This window comes from Homo sapiens, chromosome 10, assembly GCF_000001405.40.
Source record: "Homo sapiens chromosome 10, GRCh38.p14 Primary Assembly".
Taxonomy (NCBI): domain Eukaryota; kingdom Metazoa; phylum Chordata; class Mammalia; order Primates; family Hominidae; genus Homo; species Homo sapiens.
In genome coordinates, this window is record NC_000010.11 from 112726805 (window position 1) to 112752022 (window position 25218).

The 25218-nt window shown below is 40.9% G+C and overlaps 1 protein-coding gene across 8 annotated transcripts in view, besides 1 other annotated feature; it reads left to right on the top strand.

Moving 5' to 3' along the window:
• VTI1A (vesicle transport through interaction with t-SNAREs 1A) overlaps nt 1–25218 on the top strand; it is a 408381-nt gene that overhangs the window by 279817 nt on the left and 103346 nt on the right. The window contains exon 8 of one of the 8 annotated variants that reach the window (NM_001365710.2): nt 9919–10994. The exons of the other annotated variants lie outside the window; for them this stretch is intronic. Within the exon in view, the coding sequence (NP_001352639.1) occupies nt 9919–9970 (52 nt within the window). The 3' untranslated portion in view covers nt 9971–10994. Of the gene's footprint in view, nt 1–9918; nt 10995–25218 lie in introns of those variants that run through there. 8 annotated transcript variants of the gene reach the window in all.
• Nucleotides 5544–6045: an enhancer, noted in NCBI's record as "NANOG-H3K4me1 hESC enhancer chr10:114492107-114492608 (GRCh37/hg19 assembly coordinates)". NCBI's record gives its function as "activates a minimal SCP1, AML or CMV promoter by ChIP-STARR-seq in naive H9 embryonic stem cells {active_cell/tissue: H9 hESC(naive)}" and the evidence as "EXISTENCE:reporter gene assay evidence [ECO:0000049][PMID:30033119]".

The window sequence follows — 25218 nt, forward strand, 5'->3', positions numbered from 1 at the left end:
GAGGCTGCAGGGTTTGGAGGTGAGTCTGAACAAGAAGGCATATAGCTGATACCGGGGGGTCAGTTTCAAATCACTCCACTCAACATTATTTATTCTTTGGTATAGAAGTACTCCTGGTGCCAGTCTATGAACTATTTGATGTCATTCCGTGACATCATAAATGTAGAAACTGAGAACAGGCATCTAAAAAAATTTATAGCAATTTGATGTGGTCACAACATGCAAGCATATGGTCCTTGGACTTGTCTCATTGAATAGGGTACAAAGCATTTTGGGTGCTGATGAGTTCACAAGGTGAGTTGCACGCAGTGGGAGCTGCATAGCAGTCATGCAAAAAGGCCCCCCCATCAGTTGTCAACAGGTTGGAAATTAAAAACCAAAGCACAAACTGGTCCTTCATTTCAGATAGTCTAAGAAGCAACAACATGAAACCCAGAGTACCTTTACTCACCCTACTACCTTGTTGTTTTAGCCTGTCTTTCTCCACTCTATACTTCTACAAAGTATACCTAGAACAAGGCATAGAGTTGGTATTCAGTAAATCTTTGCTGAAAGGTGAGCAGAGCAAAACTGTTGCCCAAAAGAAGAAACCACATTTATTCCCTAATGATACCCTGCAGGGAAAAAAAAAATTTTTTTTATAATTCCTAGGAAGTTGAAGCTACTTACATGAAAAAAATATGATAGGAAATAAATTATAAGCAGTCATTAACTTCACTGAATATTCTCATAGAATGTGAAATAAATAGAATAATCTTAAAGAGCTGGTCCTCACTGTGGAAGTTGTGAGGCTTTCGGGACGGTTTGTATTTCAGTGTACATGTTGTATGAATTAACAAGTCAGTAACAAATGTGATCCATTTACAGGGCAGAAAAACTAGAGTGGTCTCAAGTATAATGATAGTCACAGTGGGAAGAATATAATTTACTTAATTGACAGAATAAGAGTTTATTATAAATGAAAGGCAAACGAGATATGGTCATGCATTCTCTGCCTAGTTTTTCCCTTCTCTTACCCCTTTATGTCATCTCTTTCTGTCTTCCCTAAGGATCCAGAATTAGTAAAATCTGTTCTTTGAAAATCTTGCCTTTAAAAACTGGGCTTGTAGAAAGTTACCAGGCGGCCTGAGGACCGACCAACTTAAGGAGGGGTTTAATCCCAACCTCACAGCCCCTCTTCACCACCCCCATACCCAGTAGGGTCCATTCCACACCCCTAGCAGCACATCTGTGACACAGCAGGCTGCTGGGGGGACAGTCTGAACCCGAAGTCACCGGCTGTCTCACTAACCAGAGAAAGGGATTTTACCTCAGGAAAGTTTCTCAGGTTCTGTGGAACCAGTCCCTGCGTAAAGAGACAGGTTTCCTTCTTTCTTTTCTTCCCCCCACCCCCCTCAAAATGAGTGGATTCAGAAACATTATCTGCTAAAAGTAAAAGAAGAAAAATTGAGAATATGTTGCACAGCTGGTGAAATCAGTAGTAGAGGGTGTCTGGGTATGTGTTGCAAGAGTGACACCTGGTTTATGTTTATCAACAACTAAGTGAGCTATAAATTTTGTGGAAATAACTTTGCTTTTTAACATCCCTTTTGAACAACACAGGCCGTTTGCCCTATCTAATAAAAAGGAAACAGTTGTCCTGCTTACCATGCATGGGACATTGAAGGGATAAAGGAGCTTGTCCACAGTATGTGGGCCCAGAAATGCACAATAGCTAAAGTCTGATGTGACCTTTGTCTTTGCAAATAAAGAGACTGATAACCCAGGTGTCACCACCACATTTTTTAAACACATGCATCACAAAGGGCTCAGCTTAATGACTATTTTCAAGTACAAATGAATTTCCTGAAATGGAAGAAAAAAAATAGAATCATACTTGGGGGTAATTAGGGGCTCAGGCTACCCCTAGTGTTCTCGGACAATATCTAACAACAAATGTTCACTGCACCAATGCCCTGACTCCTGTATGGAGTTTTATGGTTATTGATAGTAGCATGATTATGGTAACCATTGTATGTACCAGGCATGGGGCTATGCATTTTATGTTAGTAGATTTTTTTTTAATCTGCACAATAGGCCTAAGAGATCAATGTTTTTATTATACCATTTTATAAGTAAGGAAACAACTAACTCAGATCATGCCCTCCGTAAGTGGCCGAGCTGGTCTCAGAACCAGGTCTAACTTCTCAGCCTTAACAACCATGATGCCTTTTAGGGGTTTTGGTTTGGGTGGTTTTGATTTTTTTTCTTAAAAGTTTAAAAAAATAGCCTTCTTTGCTCCTTGACTAAAAAGGTTCCAAACCACTTTTTACCCTAGAACTCATACAGGCCAACAGAGGGAATGGAAATTGGCCACAGCACTGTCACTGAAAGGTAATAATTAATGAAAAAGGTGTCACTTAAAGAGGCCAATGACCAAAAGTGTGTTTCTCTTGGATTAACTTTTCTAACACTCTTTAAATAATGTGTTGATAGCAGCAGAGACCAAAAAGAATGCAAACAGACCTGAACATTTTAAACCTCTGGGAATAAAAATATGAAAATAAAGATGTTTTCATAGCCCTAAACAACTTTTTGCACTTCTTTTTCTGTGGTAGTAATTGTGATGTTTACCACTTCTTGTGTGCCTTTTTTGTGCTAAGCAACATGCTTATTTTTTAATTATCAACAATCCCCACAAATAGGAACTGTCTCAATTTTACAGTTAAAGAAACTTAGACTCCATAAGGTTAAGAAGTTATAGCTCTGTGTAGAATCTTAGGAAGACTTTTCTCATTATGAAATAGACCACATGCGAAATATACAACAGAAGTAACAAGAAAAACACACGCAAATTGATGAGCACTTCCAAGAGATCTCTTACGAGGCACAAGCAGTGAAGGGTCAGCACCTCCTGTGGGCTGATCCATTGTTGTTGATGGGGATATGAAGCAATTGAAATACAGTCAGGTGGGCACTCCATTTTCAAATCAGCTGATTGCAGGCTGGACACCCTTGGTGTAATCTACAAAGACAGGGAAAAGGAAACCTGCGCCTCTTCAGCGCTCTAGTGGTACTGGCAAGTGTCATGTCTTGTGATCAGGAGAGTTCTACCAGCCCTCTTTGTGCGTAGCAAACCTGATACTCCCCAGAAAGTTCCACAGCCAAAGGCTGGGCATGCTGACCTCCAATCCAGGGGCCCCAACATCAGGACCTCTCTCCCCAGCAGCAACACCTGGATTGAGTTATTTCACTTCTCTGGAGCTGAATCTCACTGACCATAGAAGAGGGCATATTTCTCAGCAAAACAGCTGGAAAATTATGCTGGCCTTTTGTACAAGTCATGTTAAGCTCCTTCAAAGAATACATGAACAATCTGCATTATTTTAAAGGTGAAGATGGGCTTTTTAAGGGGGAGAGGTTACAGCTACCAGCAAACCAGAGATTTCCTCCATTCTGTGACCCTCCTTCCTCTGCATTCTTAAGGACTTGGCTAGAACCTGAGTTTTCCATTTCTCCTGGTGAGAATGTGTCTTCAGGAGCTTATTGATAATTCTGTCTTTCAGCACAACTTTGTAAAGTTGAAGTCCCTGCCAATTGATAGTCACCTTGTGGCGTGATCTTGTCAGTCCAAAAGAATAAAGATCTACCTTTACATTCATTTAGAGTGAGGGATGATGTACAGCCAGGATGCCTAAGTGTCACCTCCTGCAGTTCACTGACACATGGAGTCCCTTTGACAGGTGCCCGAGTTTCTTTTTCCTATGTATTACAACATCTACTTTTAGGATTTTTTTTTTAACCTCTTTCCCCCTTTCCTTCCTGTTCTTTCTTCCCTCTTTTTTCTTCTTTTTCCATCTCCTTGGCTTTTTAACTCTCTCCTCTTTTCTCTCTTTCCCTTTCCACTTTTCTTGTCAGCAGTTTATTCAACCACCGTATAATAAATCCAGTAAGTGATCATAAAAATACCAATCCCAATTGCAAAAATGGCAGCACAGCCTCAGCTTGGAAAAAAAATTTGGAAAAACAAACTGAAATCATCAAAGACTAAAGACCAGATACTAAAAAGATGGGATTTGCTGTGAGATATATTTTATAATAAAAATTCTGCTATAAAGAAGCATCTTTTTATTTTTTTCCTTGATAGTCTGAATAGTTTATACCTGATGCCAAGAAATTATATATAATTAGTCTGGGTAATATATAATTTCCATTTGATTATATATATTAAAGTGATTAAGGAACTTCAGTTTTTCACTAGTAAATATCTGCCTTCTTTGTTGCATTCTGGGTCTGTAATGACTGTTTATATCAAGGGTAGCACTCGTTCAGAACTGAAGGGAGCAAAAGTTGGAATGCTTTCACCAAGCTTGGTTGCCTGATGTCTATGAATCTGGGAGATAACATGAAGTTAGCTACATTTTGGGAAAAACTGAAGGGAGATTTCAGTCCAATTTCTTGAAACCACCATGTAGTTTTGCATGACTTCCCGTGAATAAACTCCATAAGGCCAGGCCCGGTGGCTCACGTCTGTAATCCCAAGACTTTGGGAGGCCAAGGCAGGTGGATCACCTGAGGTCAGGAGTTAAGACCAGCCTGCCCAACATGGCGAAACCCCATCTCTACTAAAAATACAAAAAAATTAGCCAGGCATGGTGGCAGGCACCTGTAATCCCAGCTACTCAGGAGGCTGAGGCAGGAGAATCGCTTGAACCTGGAAGGTGGAGGTTGCAGTGAGCCGAGATCGTGCCACTACACTCCAGCCTGGGCAACAAGAGTGAAACTCCATCTCAAAAAAAAAAAAAAAACTGCATAAAACAGCATACATGAGAAGGCATATTTTAGGAAGATTACTCAGTTAAGTATATGACATCACCAATATTTTTAATATTGCATAGAATGAAATGAAATTTTTGATGTCAGTTTTTAATTAATGACTTCTATTTGCCTTTTGTAGATTACTTTCATATGTTTATTCCACATATTTTATAGCAGTTTTTCTTTTTCCAATTAGAGGATAGATTTCATCCTTTATCTTTGCAGGTAGCTGATCCAAGACATTTTTATGTAAATGGATTAATTAATTAGTAGCCTTCATTTGAAACTTAAAAAGAAAATAATCCTTTTTGAGAGGCATTAACTATTTTTTAAAGCCACAAACAATTCTTTACTTAAGCACCTTGTCACACCATTAGAAATTATTTGACAGCATTAATCATAATAAAATGCATTACCCTTTACCGAATCACCTTTTTTTCAAGCTAATTAAAAGAATCCATTCCCTAGGAGACTGTACAGCAACTTCACTTGTAAAAATCACATTTTTGGGGAACTTAACAGTACATATTTATGAAACTTTTGAGCAAATGACATCACAAGTTTGATTACCTGTACAGCCTTTGTGAGAAGGCATCTAGCTACAGAGATGTGCTGGGTTCTAGGGAAGGCAGCTACATCTGGCCTTTTTTGAGAGCCTTTAAGCCTCTCTGCCTTCCAGCCTTAGGATTTATGCAAATCAGAAATCTTTGGCTGTCTCTACTTCCTGGCCAGGCCAGCATAATCCACTTCCTTTGGGTTCATGTGACCATGCAAATTTGAGCACTCCTGAATAGTCCCAGAGGGGCTGTGCCTCTCATTATTCCTGCCCCATTCTCTGTGCAGTGCAAGCATTCAGACTATGAATGGACAAGGGTTTAATTACTCACCACATCTGTCAGATCAGATTCAACTTCAGAATGAAGAGAATCCCAGACAAGCCCGGTCGTTTCTTTGCAATGTTCTTCATGGTCGAGGTCATCCAGCTCTGTCTTCTAGGGAATATTTTCCACTCCTTGTTTCATGACCTTCTGGAAAGCAGGGACTGTGGCTTTTGGAGATCCATTACTGGGCCTTTCACACTGTGTGTGGCCTTTACAAATGTTAATTAATCTTCCTGATGATGCACTGAGCATCAGGAAACCCTTTATTCCCCTTGGGCTACTGATGACCAATATGAATGCCAGAAAGTTTTTCTTACTGTTTCCTGACCCACATGCTTCTCTCTGGATGTACTTTGCTGCTTTTTCCCCTCCCTCTGATATGTTTTCACATGGCAGATTGACTGCTCACATTACTAGGTCAGCCAGAGTTGACACAGTAAAGGTGGATGGTCCCCAAGAAGAGAACATACCTCCAATTCCAAGGCTATCAGCCTTCCCAGCAAAACGTGCATAATAGCAGCTAGGAAGGAGTGTGTCCACTGGGGACCAGGTGATTCTGCTCAGTGCATGGGCACTAGCAGTCCTTCCCTTAGGTTTCTTTCCTTACTGGGATTATCTGGGTTTAAAAGGAGATTCCTGGCACGTTCAGCTCTGGAATACAAGGCTTTTTGGGCTGCCATGGTGTTTTTGGGTTTTGGTTTGATTTTTTATTTTTGGTTTGATTTTTTATTTTTTATTTTTTGCTTTGCTTTTATCGTTTTAAAATTGAAATTCATATGAAATTAACCATTTGAAAGTATAGCATGCAGTATATTTACAATGTTATGCAACCCTCATGTCTACCTAGTTCCAAAACATTTTCACCACCCCAAAAGGCAACCCCATGCCCATTAAACAGTTGCTTCCCATTCCCCCAGCCCCCGTCTCCGTGGATTTACCCACCCTGGATATTTCATACAAATAGAAGCACATAATATGTGACCTTTTGTGACTGGCTTCTTTCATTTAGCATGAAGTTTTTTAAGTTTGCCATAATGTTTTACTATGGCATTCTCTGGCGTAGTGGTGTTTATTATTTGGTCAAAGTTATTCATATGTTCTCTGTTTTGGGTAATGTCATCATCATCTATGGAAGTCTGAGAAACAGCTGGGTCCTCTCCCTTCTCTCACTCCTATTGTCTAATTGTTCTTTAAGTCCTGTGGATTCCACACTTGCAATACTGCTAGTCAGTTCTCATTTACATTATTTTATTTTATTTTATTTTATTTTATTTTATTTTATTTTATTTTAAGAGAGAGTTTTACACTTGTTGCCCAGGCTGGAGTGCAGTGGTGTGATCTCGGCTCACTGCAACCTCAGCCTCCTGGGTTCAAGTGATTCTCCTACCTCAGCCCAAGTAGCTGAGATTACAGGGGTGCACCACCACACCCAGCTAATTTTGTATTTTTAGTAGAGACAGGGTTTCACCATGTTGGTCAGACTGGTCTCGAACTCCTGACCTCAGGTGATTCACCCACCTCAGCCTCCCAAAGTGCTGGGATTACAGGCGTGAGCCACCGTGCCTGGCCTTCATTTACATTCTTACTGCTCCTGCCCCTTTCAAATGCTATTCCTTCCCCAGTTTGTCTTTCTCAAACGCAGACCCATCTGACCATGTCACTGCCCTTCTCAGTACTCTCCAGTGGCTCCTCCCACCTCAAAATAGGGTTCAAGCTCCTTACCAGCAGGCCAAGGCTGCCCACAATCTGTTCCTCCTCTCCCTTCATCATTCCCATCCCTCACCTGTATACCATGTCTGAGCCAAACACATTAGACTGTTCGGGGGTCTCTGGCCCGTGGTGCACACTCGTTCTTGCATCCCTTTGTGTGTCCTGTTTCCTCCCCCTAAAATATTCTTCCTCTCCCCACAAATGCAGGAGTCCATTCCTCCTCTATAATCCTGCGTTTTACCTTCTCACCTTCCCTGGTCCATTAATCAGAGTGAATTCCTCCTTTCTCCCTAATTCTGGCATTTTATTTATCATAATACCTATCACAGCCAGTCTTTAAAAGGGCTCTTTGTAAATTTCTGTCCTTTTCCAATTAAATACTGAGCTTCATGAAGGCAGAAATCTTGCCTTACTCATTTTAATATCTAGCAGCAACCATTGTATAAGTCCTCAATAAATTTCTTTTTTTTTTTTTTTTGACACAGAGTCTCACTCTGTTGCCCAGGCTGGAGTGCAGTGGCGCGATCTCGGCTCACTGCAATCTCCGCCTCCCAGGTTCAAGACATTCTCGTGCCTCAGCCTCCCGAATAGCTGGGATTACAGGCGCCTGCCACCATGCCAGGCTAATTTTTTTGTATTTTTGGTAGAGATGGGGTCTCAAACTTCTGACCCCAAGTGATCCGCCCATCTCGGCCTCCCAAAGTGCTGGGATTATAGGCATGAGCAACTGCGCCCAGCCCTCAATAAATATTTTGTTGAATGATTTGAATTTTCTTCTCCAAAGAAAAAACCATGGGCCTACAAGGACCCCAAGTCAAGGAGAGAACCAGTCTGAAGCAAAGTAACAAGGACTAACATTTAAAATAGTAATTATTTTTATCTTCTGTTGAATTTAAAGCTACCCACAGTGATTTACCAGTTTTAATTCGCAGAAAATGCAACTTTGCTTTTTTTCCCTTCTGATTATGTTCTTCATTACAAATCTCAAGAGTTTTATATGCAGTTGCCAAAAATCTCTCTTTTGACAAATTGCACAGGAGGCATTTTGAGATTGTGTGATAGACTCGATTGAATTTAGGCCAAATCCTGTACACTTGTTTCACTCAAAACAAAAATACAGATGTAGGGCTACTCAAACATTTACCTATTTATTTTCTCCCAACCCTCCAAATTCATCTTTCTTTAAAAACAATCAATCGGATTCCTTTTAAATTAAATGCCGAGTAAACAATGCAAATAAAACTATTTTGTTTGCTGAGAAGTAATTGAAAATCTGCAACTAATTACAAATTGGCAAGCTCTGAGCCTACAAAGAGCTGAAACACTCTGCTGAGGCATTGTTTACAGCTGGGTTCAAAACTGGTTTCCTTACACCAGCCATCCACAAGTTATTAATCAATACTTTGCCAAGTTCTATACCTCACCTTCAAAAAATTGTAATAAACATTTCATTTTCAATATGGGCTTCATAAACAAAGCTGTTAAAAACTAGAGGAGGTTTAATTGGTTAGAACACACAAAGCCTGCTCTTGGGTTATGTGAATTGGCTTTTCGATTAAATACCCTGTTCTTCCTCAACTACTCAGGAACCTGCAACTTAGTTGAAATTAATATTCTGTCAGTCTGGTCACTGAGTCCCCTATGGCACTCCAAGTGCCACAAGACCTTTTTTAATTGCATTTCTGGAGAAAAGCAACATGTTCATGGACCACAGAGACACGGGGACAACGAATTTAATTTGGCATTGCAACATGCAGGTAAAGTAGAATTTGCACATGACTTTGTTCTGAGTGGTGAAATTTAAAATATACATATATTTTAAAACATATTTTATATTTATATATAGTATATGTTTATATACTGTATAATATATTTTATATTTTTATATATAGTATATTTTACATATATATGTGTGTGTGTATATATATATATATATATATATATATGTAAATGTATAACTTTTTTTTCCCAAATGCTCTTCCTCCAGATCTTCACTTGGCTGGCTTTTTCTTTTTCTTCAAATTTCAGTTGACTGTCACTCCTCAAAAAGACTCTCTGTCCACCTTACCTAATATCTCATATTTATTTCCTTTCTTCATTTATTTACTTGATTATTGTGATATACCACCACTAGATTGTAAGCTATGCAAGGACAGATTCCTTGTCTATCTTATTCACTAGTCTCTAGAACTACTCTCTCTAACCCTAGTCTCTAAGAATGGTGCCCGGCACGTAGTAAGTTTTTAGTAAGTATTGGATGGGCAGACGGATAGATGGGTAGGTGGGTGGGTGGATGGATGGACTAAAGCGATGAATGAGGGAATCGAGTTAGGTTGGTTGGGACAAGCGCAGAGTTAAGATAGAAATTGAATGCAAGGAAAAGGCATGACTCTGAAAGTGGCTCCTCTGATAAGAAACCAAAGCCTGCTGTTCTAAATGCCAAAATTGGAAACAAGTATACAAACTAGTGCATTTAGCAATGAGGGATGGTGAGAAATGCTACATAAGGATTTCTCTTCACTGTTCACAGGGGTTGTTCTGTGAAAAAACAATGTAACCTGTCTCTGGCCCCAAAGGCTTGAACCAGAACCAGCCAGTGGAAATTACTCAAACACGTATTGTGCCTTCAATGAGAAGCCTTCTCACTGAAAGAGCTGCCCTGGACGGAAAATGAGTAGTGAGATGATGCTGGTGGAAGTATTTATAGATGCGCAGTGCATGAGTACTTGGCAAGGATGCTATCAAAGGGGAAACTGACATCAAATGTGCTGTGGTTCTGGGTGATTTATCTGGTCCCTTCCCATCCCAGAGCTTTATGATTCTGTAATAATCAAGGGAGAAACCCATTACATAGTGGACAATTTTTTTTCTTTTTTTTTCTTTTTCTTTTTTTTTTTGAGACAGAGTCTTGCCCTGTCGCCTGGCTGGAGTGGAGTGGCACAATCTTGGCTCACTGCAACCTCCACCTCCCAGGTCCAAGCGATTCTCTTGCCTCAGCCTCCCAAGTAGCTGGGACTACAGGCACACACCACCACGCCCAGCTAATTTTTGTATTTCTTTTTTTTTTTTTTTGTAGAGATGGAGTTTCACCATGTTGGCCAGGATGGTCTCGATCTCTTAACCTTGTGAGCCACCGTGCCCAACCCTAACAATTATTTTTAAAAGGAGGAATTTAAATGAGCTGTGGATTATTCATTTTGTCCCATAAGAAGATAATTAAAAAATGACAAAAATGAACTGAACAAAAAAGTTCTAACAAAATAATAAGGCTGAATTTTTAAAGTCTCTTCCGCATCTTCTGTTCCCTGGGATGCCTTAGACGGGGTGTGCAGTATTTTAGGTACATCGTGAGCAAGGAGCCTGCATTCCCAGGGGGCGGCAGGGACAGCATGTAAGGTCTTAGTCCAGCTCTGTGATCTGAAGGCAAAGCCTCTATGTGTGAAACACAGGGGTACCTCAAAAATAGAACAAGAGCACTCCATCCATGTGCGGATGACTGTCAAGGTCACTGAGACCTACAGTGATCTGGAAAATTAAAGCTCTCTGGCCGCCTTTCCTCTCAGGACATACTTCTGGAGATCAAAAAAAAAAATTACAAATTGATGATTTTCTGTTGCTGAGTCATTTTTCTTGCATTTCTTTCTGCTTTTCCTGTTTATCGTTGGTTTGATAGCTGAGCCGTAGGATCGATGCCTTTCAGCGAGTGTGAGGGAGAGAGCTGAGGATGGAGGTATGTCCCCTCTAGGCACATTTAGGCGGGGATGCTTAGGGCCTCCTGCAAGTCCTCCGATGTCCAGAGATCAAGATGAGTGTCTTGTCTGGTTAATGAAGTTTGGATTATTCACTGCACCACAATCTCATTCTTATCCTTGTCAATTGTTGGGGCAAATGGAATACTGAGAATGGAATGTAGGAAGGGAGTTTAGATTCCTCACCTGATTTCTAGCCAGTCTGATTCGTTGTCTTACCAGAGAGGCCTCATTTGGGCCATATGTAAAGTGGCACCATCCCTGGCGAGCACCCCTAACGTTCCCTGTGCCCACGTGTCCCTTCATCTGGGTAGATCCCACTCATCTCACAAGGCCCAGCTTCAATGTTAACTTCTGTCTGAAGCTCCCCAAGCCTTCAGGCAGAATAACTATTCTTTCCTCTGTGCTTCCTCACTCTCCTCTATAACGCATTTGTCAGTTTATATTATGGATTGTTCTGTACAGACTTGGCTCTCCTCTGAGGCTAGGAGATCCTTGAGGACGGGGAGTGTGTTTCCTTTTTCTTTATATCTAGGATTCAGCACAGTTCTTGGTCCTCAGTGAACGGCTGATGAATTGGAAAATAAATGACTGGACATCTGAAATATTAAAGGAATTAATATTTTGTGGGTGGAGAGAAATCAAGACATGTAAAGTTCAGTGTAAAATTAATCTTTTCTCCCCAATACAGTCTGATTAAATGGTGACAGTTTCTTCCTCTCATGAGCCATCTGGATCTTAATGGTTATTTTCTTATAAGACTGTTGAGTTTACAGTACGACAGAACTGTGTTTACCTTGGAATGAGGGCTGTCCTCTATTAAGAAGCTTTCAGTACAGCCCAAGAGTCAAGTTATGGTGTTGTGGGCAGAAAGCCAGTAGGGAAAGCCTTGAGGAGAAAGCCCTCATGGAAGAGAAATGCTTTATCATCTGGTCCCTGAATCTTATGGAATTCAGCAGTGACCTAGCCGCATGATCCCGCAGTGAGGGCTTAACACGTTCCACGGCCTGAACTCGCTCTGAATGGACTCCAGATTCCCAATGATGCATGCAGCCCCTCAGGGTCAGAGGCCATCATGCTGCCAATCAGACAAGGCAGGTGGAATGTTGCACAGCTGCACTCTGGTTGCATTTCCCAACACCTCCCTGTCTCACGATGCTTGCACATTGGCATGCTGTTCCTGCCACCTTGTCATACTTGTGTGTGTGGAGAGCCTGTCCCCAGTGCTGTTTTCTCAGGACAAGCTCAACTTCACTTCCTCCCGCCTTATCGAACCCTTTGTTTCCAAAATTGTTAATCAAGCCACTTGGGGGGTTGAACTCAACTCCTCCCTCCCAATATCCTCCCAGCTCAAAGTAATGAGAAAAACAATTGCCCACAGTGAGGATGTCCATGGTCCCCATTTTCCCCAGTCTATCATGCCTTAGACAGATACTGTTGAATTTTGTCAGTTGCATGTCCCACATGCTAATGGTGGTTATTTGGACATCTCTGCTTCAAGCCCAGCTTAAAAAACCATATGGCCCCAGATTCTTCAATGCCACAGCTATGGTGCTCTTCCATGTTAAGAGACTTAACAGATGAAATATGGTTTTCCGAACCTCTTTTCATTTACCATCAAAATAACAAGCGATGTCTTGTATTTCAACAGAGACATTCTTTTCACTCAGTTACTCTGCAAAGAATGTGCCCTTGTCTCTGCTGTAGATTTTTATTTTATTTGTAAATTGTGCGTGCTGCATGCTACGGAATACTGAAAAGCCATACACCCTGGCTTGTTGGTTGACACATAGTATGTGTGATTACAGATTGTTTGAATAACAGTGGACTATTGAACTGCCATCCAGATGTGTGTGGAGTTAACTGTGGGAATGTCCACAAAGGAGGATTATCTTTCTTGTTGCTGGGGCCAAGGCCCCCAGAAAGTGGAAACATAAGCATGGCAGCTACTCAAATAGAACAGTAGCTACAATTGGCTCTTCAGAAGCAAAATTAATCATTTTTTTTAAATTATGCATTGCAATTAAGACTGGGTTTGTTCTCTAAAAGTAAATCATGCAAAGAAAATGCCAAACAATAACACAAAAATTTGCAGCTTTGAATGCCCTTTGTGAATGGTTTCGTCATTTTGTTTTTAAACGTTTAGAAATTCAGAACATTGTAGATTAAAGATAAGACCTCAACCATTGCAAGCCTCCGAGCCATCATCTTGTAGACTTGATCTGTGTTTCCTGCACTCTCTTCCATTCTTTGTACTGTACAGGATACTGTAAGCATTGATTAGTTGGTGTTCACAAATACTGGCCATGGGAAAACAATGCAGAATTCCCCCTGTGAACACTTTCTTTCTTTCTTTCTTTCTTTTTGAGACAGAGTCTTGCGCTGTCATCCAGGCTGGAGTGCAGTGGTGCAATCTCGGCACACTGCAACCTCCGCCTCCCAGGTTCAAGCAAGTCTCCTGCCTCAGCCTCCTGAGTAGCTGGGACCACAGGCACGTCCCACAACACATGGCTAATTTTTGTAGTAGAGACAGGGGTTTCACCATCTTGGCCAGGGTGGTCTCGAACTCCTGACCTCAAGTGATCTGCCTGCTTTGGCCTCCCAAAGTGCTGGGATTACAGGCGTGTGCCACGATGCCCATCCTTGAACATTTTCTTTAAAAGATATTTGAACCACAGTGAGATACTACTTCCCACCTACTAGAATGGCTAAAATAAAACAGACAGTAACAAGTGCTGACAAGGATATGGAGAAATTGGAATGCTCATGTGCTGCTGGTGAGAATGTAAAATGGGGTCACCACTTTGGAAAACAGTTTGGCAATCACTTAAAATGGTAAACATGGAGTTTACCCTATGATCCAGCATTTCCATTACTAGGTATCTGTATCCAAGACCCATGAAAACCTATGTCCACACAAAAACTTATACATGAATATTTATAACAGCATTATTTATAATAGTCAAAAAGTAGAAGCAACCCAAATGTCCAGCAACTGATGAGTGTATAAATAAAATGTGGTCTATTATTCAGCCATGAACAGGAATGAAGTACTAATCCAACATGGATAAACCTGAAAACATGCTCAGTAAAAGAAGCCAGATACAAGAGACCACATAGTCTATGAATCCATTGTATGGAATGTCTGGAATAACTAATCTATAGAGACAAAAAGTAGATTATTAGTGGTCACAGAGCACTGGAGAGGGGAAATTAAGAGTGACTATTAATGGGCCAGGCACGGTGGCTCACGCCTGTAGTCCCAGCACTTTGGGAAGCTGAGGCAGTCAGATCACTTGAGGTCAGGAGTTCAAGACCAGCCTGGCCAACATGGTGGAACCCCGTCCTACTAAAAATAGAAAAATTATCTGAGCATGGTGGCACGCGCCTGTAATCCCAGCTACTCAGGAGGCTGAGGCAGGAGTATCACTTGAGCCCAGGAGGCAGAGGTTTGCAGTGAGCCAGGATCACACTACTTTACTCCAGCCTGTCTCAAAAACTAAAAAACAAAAGAGTGACTGTTAACGGATATTGGGGTTTCTTTTGCAGTGATGAAAGTCTTCTAAAATTGATATTGATGATGATTGTACAACTCAGTGAACACACTAAAAATTCTTAAATTTTACCCTTTAAATGGGTGAATTGCATGGTATGTGAATCATACCTCAATAAAACTGTTTACAAATGAAGATGAATGAAGATATTTTCAGATAAAAAAATTTTTAAGGTATTTGAAGGTGAGTTTTTAAAAATTATACTTAAAATTAGGATATCTTCAAAAATCAACATATCTGAACTTTTTTACCAGCGTAGAAAAAAGGGGGAAATGCTTTTCAATTTAATAGCTTATATCTTTTTTTTCTTTCCTGGAATGAAAGATCTGTTACTTGTTCAACAGTGTCAATGCTTTCTATCTCTGGTTGGAATCTGCAGCAGTCAGTTGGCACCCAGCCATCAAATACCTAGATTTACCTTTGTGCAATAAAAGTCCCTTTAGCAATGCATATTGAGATATATCATTTTGAACCTATTTTAAATTCTGTAGCAAGCAAGTAAAAAAAATAAATAAATCATGAAACATCAGGCAAGTCAAAGGAAACAAAGAAACGAATAGGAAATCCTCTCTAGATTCCGTTCCCACTTTACTTTCTGTAGTTTGATCTAAAGAAAAATGTGGAATTTCCTGCAGAGTGATTAATAGGCTAATGTGGTGACTGACAGGCACTCTGAGCTTGACCTGGCAGGTAAAGGCTAACTGGCACGTTAAGTTGATTACACAATTTCCTCTAAATAAGTTGACAAGTGGTTTGCACAGTTGCCTTGACTTTTGCCCTTATAAATGCACACTTATAAATGAATTGCTTTTTCAACTAAAGCAATCCTTATTTTAGATGTGACATGTGTTAAGTAAACAGCTTGATACAGAACCCCAGCATCCTAGCCTTCCTAGCCAGGTCAGATTATCAGAGTTGCTAGGAAATAAGAGTTTTGAGCCTGAAACTCAGCTTTGAGATGTGGTTGTATCCCTAGGGCATAAGAAACCCAAAACTATTTTTCTTCCCTCTAGTATTGTGAAGCAGATTATTAGATTTGAGAAGATGTGTTCCACAAATGTCTCGAAAGAGTCCAGGAGTGGAGGCTGCTAAATGGTTTGCTTAATTCTAATGCTTTATACAGATCTCCTTTCAGGATGTCAAGTTTGTAGGAAAATGCAGCCTTTGGTTGGTATTTCTTTAAAAATATGACAGAGAAAAGATTTCTAGTTGGCATCTCTGTTCTATGATCATTTTCACAAGAAGAAAATGTCCATTTATACTTCAGAGAATATGGTTTATTGAGATATTTTGTTTTACAGATGTACTACTTCCTTCCATTTAAGGGGAGAGTTACAAAAAGCTATGATAAATGAACAGGAAATACAGTTTGAGATAATAAATCAAAATGCTCTTAAGGAAAATAACTATTTATTTGTAGATTTATAAGCCAGGCACCTTTATTGAACCTGATATATCCTGATTTGATAAGCAAGAGGAGATTTGCTAATGTTGTTGATTTAGCTGGGACCTATTCTCGTGTGTGTGTGTGTGTGTGTGTGTGTGTGTGTGTGTGTGTGTGTCTTCCTGAATGAATTAAACATTTGGAAAATGAATTGATTTTTATTTGTATATACAAAGATAATACCATTTACGCTTTCCAGGTCTAGAATATGACAAGCCTTGAGTTCGTCTGGAAAATAGAACATTATTAGGACTCAGAGGTTAAACGTACCATCCCATCAAAGTCTGTGAATGCTCCCCTGCAACAATGAGCAGACCCATTATAAATCGTCTTCATTCATGTTAACTCTTACAAAAGATGAAACTCGTCAGGCTTACAATGTTTACTACTTTCCAGAGATGACTCATGCAGTAATCTTTTTATTTATTTCATTATTTCACTCCATCATCTGGAGGTACTCGTAACAAAAGGATTGCCTTCCACTTTGTGGCTGGGGCTGGCTGTGTACTTGGTAAGGACCGGGCTAGTCCCTCCTGCAGTGTGGTTTCTCCTTGCAAGTCGTCAATATCCAGTAACCATTAACTATGAACAACATCCTCCACTCATTTCACTTCCGCCCCAGCTGGCCAGCGCCCTTTAGACATATTCATGAGCCAGGGGGGAGATATTTCATGCCCAACCCTCTCTGCCTTTGGAAGGTTGGAGTCTCCTGAGGTTTGGATTTAAACTCCACATGGCAAACCCAAGTTTCAGGAACCTCCCACCCCAGTGGAATAGTCAAGAGAAGTTTCTGCTGTGTCTCCTTTTTGCCTCTCCAGAGAGAACACTCTTAAAAAGAAAAAAATTATTTCGGTTATATACATTTTCAATCAAATATTTTAGAAATAAAAAATATAGGACATAATATAATGAACACCTTTCTTCCTGGTATAAGCTTTAGAGTTAATATTTTACAAATACAGTGAAGCCCCTGTTCAACCTCAAGTTTCCTTATAAGACCAAGTCTGCAGCACCTTGAAGAAATCCACATCAAATACTGGGACCCTCCCTGTGAAAGGAAACAGGGATGATATACTCAGGGAGGAAGAATGGACTTTTTCTTTGTCGGTTTGTGTTTTTAATATTCCAGATATTTGAACCATAAGAAATTGCCAGTATTCACTTGTTTTCTACTTACGGAAATGTCAATTTTATGTGGGTCAGCCTCATAGCAGGGAGACAAATGTCCCTTGCACATTACAGAAAAAAACTAAATCAAGCTCACATCTCCTCTTGTATAAGCTATTAGCTTAGCCTCAGAATTAGCTTCCCTGCCTTAATTCTCAACCCCCTCCAATTCAGCGTCCACTCTCTTGCCACAACCATACAGATAAACCTGATAAAAGTTCTGGCTAGAAATTTAAAAATATTTCCTTGCAGAAATATCAGTGATTGGTTATGGTGTTCTACCCCCAGATTCTGCCGGAAGTGATATGGAACATATGGCATATGCTTACATGCTTACATTTTCTTCTTCTTCCTTTTTTTTTTTTTTTTTTTGAGACAGAGTCTGTCGCCCAGGCTGGCACAACCATGGCTCACTGTAGCCTTGGCCTCTCAGGCTCAAGCGATCTTCCCACCTCAGCCTCCCAAGTAGCTGGGACTACACGCACATGTCACCATGCATGACTTATTTTTAAATTTTTTGTGGAAACAAGGTCTTGCTGCGTTGCCAGGGCTGGTCTCAAACTCCTGGGTTTAAGCAATCCTCCCACCTCCGCCTCCCAAAGTGCTGGGATTACAGGCATGAGCCAAGGCGCCTGGCCTACTATTGCACTTTCGATGTTGTCCCTTAGCTGTGCATCGACATCCCTCCCTGTCGGAGCTCTTACTAGAAGCCAGCTACATTGCAGATCCAGCACGTTCAGCATCTTGTCTCATTTCATCCTCACAGCAAACTGAGATATCCAGGGGTAGAACAGGTTTTGTGGGACCTGAAGCATTTACAGTTTGGGGTACTCCCTGAAAGAAACATTAAACTCAGTAAGTTATGAAAGTTAATGATTGTCTAGGTCAAGAAAAGAAAGTACAATACATTTTTTAAAGCAGGCAAATACTACAGGCACCATAAAATGCAGGAAAAAAGTAGTTTTATTAATTAACTGATTGACACATATGTAATACTTTTTTTCCCTATGTTTTTTGGCTGCATAATCCCTGGCCATTTCTTCACCTAATAATTATTTTATGACTTTTTGTGGAGAGAGTAGGAAGAGGGTTAACTTCTTCCTCTAGCATGGTTGATCAAAACTTGTTTTTTTTTTAATGATTGAAAGTTTTATAAAAGCTTCTTTGGCTCTGTGGTTCAGTATTAGTAATGTCGTGGAAGTTTTTAAGATTGTTGTCAAATGAACATATCTCTCACTTTTTGTCTATATATGAGCTGTAGGATTTGGATTTTTTTTTCTCAGACTAGTTTCTGGCTCTATACATTTTGTTTTTGTGCCACCCACGTACCTCCAGTGTCGAGTGCTCTCACTATGTTCACATTACAGTAAGACCTCTGAGCCTGCACCTTTGTGTCCCAGTACTCCATGAGTTGACCATCTCCAGCTCAACACAGCTGACAGTGATTTAACCAGACATGGAAATGACTGTGGACATGTGAATCTATCCCACTACATCCAAAGTAAATTATCCCTAACTCAGCTTCCCCTTAGCTGGATCCCAAAAGTGCTCACAGCCACACCGATGCTGTCCAACATGAAAGGGAATAGTAGAAAGTCAGTCGTCCTAACCATGCATTGCAGTTACTGTATCTTATTTTTACAAAGATATTTGGCCAAGTGAACATATTGCTAAGACCTCTTTCAGGACCTTGGAAGGAGCCCAAACAAGTGAAGGACTGACCCTGAAGCCCAGAATGAAGCTGAGAAGCCACATGTGAATCTCCTAGCAGATTTGTGCAAGGTTACTCAGGTAGCAAGAGACAGAGCTAGGATTTAAACTCAAGTCTTTAGAGGCCAATTTAAGAATCTTTTAAATTATGCTAATTCATGTCTTGTATTACAAAACCTTTCCCTTCCCTATCCCACCTTAGTGCTCAGTAAGTACATAGCCATTGGTCAACATTTGCTACAGAAAAAATGGACATCTAAGTCTCAAAACAGGTTTGCTGTGTTCTTGATCATATTTGGGCCAACTTCCTTGAAGACTCTGGAATTTCATGTCTATTTGAAATCAATTTTATGATATAGAATTTCAGATAAATCTGTACGAAACAAAACTCACTGCCTCTACTCCACCCATGTTTTAGAAACCATGTTGCTCCTCATTCATCTGGGAGTATTTCTCAGCATGCCCCAAGGACTGATAAATATAGTACAGTCCTTAGGTTTATCCTGGTGTCCCTAAGAGTCACAGTTCAGAAATGGTGGGACACTCTTAATTAGAAGGGGGACAGCCAGCAGCGACCCTGCTTTCAGTGCCCTGGCACCTACAGAAAAAAGCCTTTCTGTCTGATAAACCCTCTGGTGTGTGCAGCCCACCGCTGTACACATGGGCGGAACTCGCTCTCACAGAACAAGTGTGTTTGCCAAAACAGGGAGTGAAGTGTCTTGCAAGGCCACTTGTTCCAGAAGAAAGACAGGATAAGGGAAGTGGCAGAAACTGTGATAGGGAAGGAGTTTTTCCACGCTAACAAGCGTGAACCGATAAGCCTGACCTTATAGACAAATGTTGAGGGTCCTAAGAGCACCTCTCAGGCCAAAATTAACTGAGCAAATTTGACTTGGCTTCCCATTTTATAATGGAAAAAATTCCTAGGGAGAAAGAAAACTCAACATTGGCTGCTATCACGGCTGATGGATTTGACTTCTTATCTGCCAGATTTTCCTACTAAACAAGTCAATGGAATCACTTTCTAATATGTCCGAACTAGAAGGTTGCATGATAAAAATATGTTAATAATATTATCATTCTTACAGTCCCTGGGCCAAGAATGTTTACAGTCCTTATCTCATTTAATCCTCACAAGAACCCTCTGGGGCTATTTCAATTTACAGATGAAGACAGTGAGACTCAGAGAGATCCAGTCACTTACCCAGCGCAGTCACACAGCCAACAAGTGGTGGAGACCAGATTTGAACTAGGGCAGTCAGATTCGGGGGCCTGTGCATTTATCCACTGTTACACAGTGAGGTCCATCTGAATCTTATTCCTGTTTCCCTCCTCGGGACTCCACCGGGCCTCCAAACACTTCCCATAAATGGGGAATGCCTTAAGACACTCTCTGAATGTTACCTGTGATGTGGGTAAAGCAAACAGGAGCTGTTTTTATCATCTGCCACAAGTATTCTTATTAGCATGCATTGCTTGATGACGGGGATACGTTCTGAGAGTTCATCGTTGTGCGAACATTACAGAGTGTGCTTACACAAACCTAGATGGTAAAGTCTACTACACACCTAGGCTGTAAGGTATATCCTATAGTGCCTAGGCTACACTCATGTACAGCATTTTACTGTCCTGAATACGATAGGCAGTTATAACACAATGGTTAAGTATTTGTGTATATAAACATAGAAAAGTTACAGTAAAAATACTGTATTATAACTATAGTTTCCGTTGTTGACCAAAACGTTGTTAGGTGGCCGATGACCGTAATTGTTTTGTTTTGTTTTCTCTTGGGGTGCCTAGAATAAAACATAAGAATATTGGTAAGGGAGCAAAATAAATATGTATTGGTCCCCGAAAGGCTTGATACATGCTTGATTCTTCACCCTTACCTGGAGACTGGGTTGTGTAGAAGGAGGCCCTCAAAGAGGAATACGGAGAGTATGGCTTCTTCCTTCTGGCAAACTCAGAGTTCAGTGCTGCCCCTTTGGGGGCTGGAACAAGGTTCCCCATGTGTTTCTCAGTTGTACCTAGCAATTTCCCTAGGAAGTTTTTGAAGTTTCCAGGGTTGGCAGCCACACTCATATGGCCCGGCTGGAGGGTACAGTGGCAATCCAACGCCCAGACAGGGTCCTGGACGTTGGACTCCTAGACCAAAGCGGAGAGGAAGTGATGGGTCAAGGCGACAACAGGGAGCCTTAGGAGAATGTGTGCTCCAACCCCTCATCTCATAGGTGGAGAAACTGAGGCCCAGGTAGAGGAAGTGACTTGCTAAAGGTCACTCAGCTAATCTTGGTGGAGCCAGCACTAGGATTCCTGACAAGAGACCCCTTCCACCATAGGCTGCTGACATGCCCGGCTCAGGGCAACATCACCCACCCAGACAGGTACCTCCCACGGCAAAGCCTAAATACACAATGTTAGATTAGTCATACAGCAATCCAATTTGGGGTTGCATTTGGAAATTGTACTGGTACTGAAAACAACAATAGCCAGAGAGGCTTTGCCCATTTTTCTCAGGTGGCTAGATTTTCAGTGTAGAACACTAAAAAAGCTATTTAAATTAACTCTATTTTATTCGTACAGTTGGGGACTCATCTATAAAAACACATGTTGTCACATTACCTGAGCCAGTCAAGTTTTCTCCAGATTTATATTCCACAGCAGAGATGCAGGGAAGTTGCCCAACAAGTCCTTTATTACTTATTCTGAAAGCCAAGATGTGCCCTGGATAATTATACACATGTACAAATAACCCACACACAAATGACACCTGTTACTCTTTTTTTTTTTTTAATTTAGAAACCTTTTTTTTTTTTTTTTTTTTTTTGAGACGGAGTCTCGCTCTGTCGCCCAGGCTGGAGTGCAGTGGCGCGATCTCGGCTCACTGCAAGCTCCGCCTCCCGGGTTCACGCCATTCTCCTGTCTCAGATTCCTGAGTAGCTGGGACTACAGATGCCCGCCACCATGCCCGGCTAATTTTTTTTTTTTATTTTTAGTAGAGACGGGGTTTCACCGTGTTAGCCAGGTTGGTCTCGATCTCCTGACCTCGTGACCCACCCGCCTCAGCCTCCCAAAGTGCTGGGATTACAGGCGTGAGCCACTGCTCCCAGCAGAAAATGTTTTGTCTTACATGCTTTAAGTATATTCTTATCAAAACCTTGGAGTTACAGATTTAGTTCATTCGAATTATGGAAAAGTCTACCGTATGACCCAATGAGTAAAACCAATCTTCGTTGTCAAATAAAACAACCAGGTAGACTGATTTTCTAACAGAACAAGTCTGACATGATTTTTTTTCTGTTTAAATATATGCATTAATACATGAACCAAGGACAACCACATCACTTCTGTTCTAATTCTAGGGTAGTTGCGAAGCCAGTCCAGTGGCCTTAGGTGGATTTATGGAGTGTGGAGCTTTAAGCCTGTCTGTGAATTTGGCATATGGGGCAGAAGGCACTGCCACCTTCAGTACTGCTTACTGACACTCTATTTGCTTTGTCCTCACAAGACTTTCTCAGAAAAACTACATTCTTTGAAAATGAGGGTAGGGGGTGGAAAACGTGAAACCATGAATGAAGATTGTCAAAAGTTGCACCACCCTAGTCTACAATACATCTGAATTCAGATCATCCCAACAAGGGTTGAATGCTGCTTCACCCTTGATAGGAATATGTGTAAGACAGGGAGGAAACTCAGAGCTGTAGCTGGGATCTGTGGCCCTTGATGAAAGGAGTAGCTGCTTACAGCAGTCCTTCGTATTGCCTGTTTGCCTCTATGGAGGTTTTTACACTTCAGGCAGAGCTACTTAGTAAAGTGGGAGAAGGCATTTAAGGAAAGAGAGGGAAAAGAACTGCAAGATACCTGGATTGCTTTTAGCAAATAATACATATAGGAGGGACCTGGAAATCAGTTCCCTTAAACTTAGCTATGCTCTAGTTTGAAGACTTCAAGAAAAATCCTTCTAGATACTGACAAGAGGCCATATACCCAGGCATTTTTTGCAGCACTGGAGTAGCAGAAATTTAGAAGCAACATAAATGTTCATCATTTGGGAAGAGGGTCGATGCAGTAGCATACTATATAGCTGTTAAGTGAACCATGCACACATATATGCAGTTTGAAACTTACATTGAGTCAAAAGATAATTTTCAAATATGCTATACACAAAGTATTATGCATGTTGATATATATGTAGTAAAAGTATAAAAACAGGGACAAGCTTCAGGTTAGTAGTTACCTGGAGGTAGAGATGAATGAGGAGGAACTGTCACATGTTATCTTATCAAAAGACCAGCTCAGCCTTCCATGGGATTAAATCAATTATTGTCTTTGGGGAGAAACAAAGAGACTGACTTTTTTTTTTTTAGTTTTGTTTTTGTTTTTGTTTTTTGAGGTAGGGTCTCACTCTGTTGCCTACACTGGAGTGCGGTAGCACGAGCATAGCCCACTGCAGGCTCAAACTCCTGGGCTCAAATGATCTCCCCACTTCAACCTCCCAAGTAGCTAGGACTATAGGCATGCACCACCATGCCTGACTAATTTTGTAATTTTTTTTTTGGTTTTCTCGTTTGCTTGTTTTTTGAGAGAGGAGGTCTCACTGTGTTGCCCAGGCTGGTCTGGAGCTCCTGGACACAAGCAATCCTTCCTCTTCAGCCTCCCAAAGTGCTGGGATTATGTGAGCCACCACACCTAGCCAAGACTGATTTTTAAATCTGTGTCTTGTGCAACACTCTAATGGCAGAAAGGGCTTTAGAGTTTCAACTTAAGCTTTTGTGGGAGAACAAACTAACTGAGCTGCCTCTCACCTAGGATACTCCTACAGCCCAAACTACGAGTTCAAGAGAATTCTATCTTGGAAAGGACTGAGTCTTATTAGACTGCTTATCCCTAATACTCTGCAGAGTCATCCCTCATTTATTTTTTAATGAAATTTGACAAAATATGTACACTAAGTCTCCTGTAGAATGGCCATAATTTGTGCTTAGGAATGCATAATTTTATCAGGATCTCTGTAATTAGATATTGTGCAATAGAATAAAAAGCAAATACTGTGTGTCCCATGGCAACCTCGGCCTTTAGTATCTCACTATCTTTGAGATAACAAAGGTTTCCACAGACACACGTACCACATGGGATTTTTAAGTAGACATCCAGGAAGAGAACGAAAGTTCCCCTGTTGGTTTTCCCCTATTTTTAAGTGTGAGTGTATGAATGTGTGTTTTGTTCTCTTCCTTTTATATTGCCTCCTGGATTTGGGTTGTTTTCCTTTATCTGTCCGGACTGTAAATGTGGATATGAAGGTTCATAGTCCTGTAGAATAACGTCAGTGCTTGAGCTAGTGTTTGGTGTGAAGTACCTATCTTTTGAAGGGAGAGAAAAGAATTACGACTGTGGTAAGATTTAAGAGGACAGAATTAAGATTATGTAAGGGTTGAAGAAAGGTTTGCTGGGAATGTGGTGTGTGTTTTAGCAGAGACCCCAATGACCTGCCAGGGCACGTAGAGAGAGCAGGCTACTTGAGGGCAGGGAGTAGACCACCGCCATTTCTGTGACCTCACATCTGGCATGGCCAGGCACACAGTAGGTACTCAATAATTAACTCCCTGCTGTTTCCCTAATCATGTAGAGGAAAGCAACAATGTTCAGTAATTAACTGTTTAAAAAAAAAAAAAAAAAAAAAAGCCCTGCAAGCTGCATCTTTGCTTCTAGACCAAGAGACAGCTGCCCACATCTCATGGGGATGCAGTTAGGACATAATTTAAAATATCATCCATTTCTTCTAAAATGTGTAGTTTCTTTGGAGGCAATTGTAGCCACTTTTGTAAATAGGACCAATAAAGGGGATAAAATTGTCCATCACTCCACTGAAATAAGGAAATAGAGCAAGAACCTAGGAGTTATAGTACTCTACTAGAGATTACACATTATAGAATAGTGCAGAAAGCAAGCCACATGAAAGGGTCAATTTAATGTCGCATCCTGCAGAGGTGAGGAGTTGATCTCCAACTATTCTCATTGGTTACACAATCACATTGAGGTATTTAAATCCTGGCAGGTGGGAGCCTTTGCTTCCTTTGCTCAACGGTGAATTCACATGGTGGTGTGGTAGGCAGAGGTTGCACGGCATTCTCTAATAGCTACAACTTACCTAGTCTTATCCAGTATAGGTATCAGGGAAGTGATTACACATGTTCAGATACATCAAT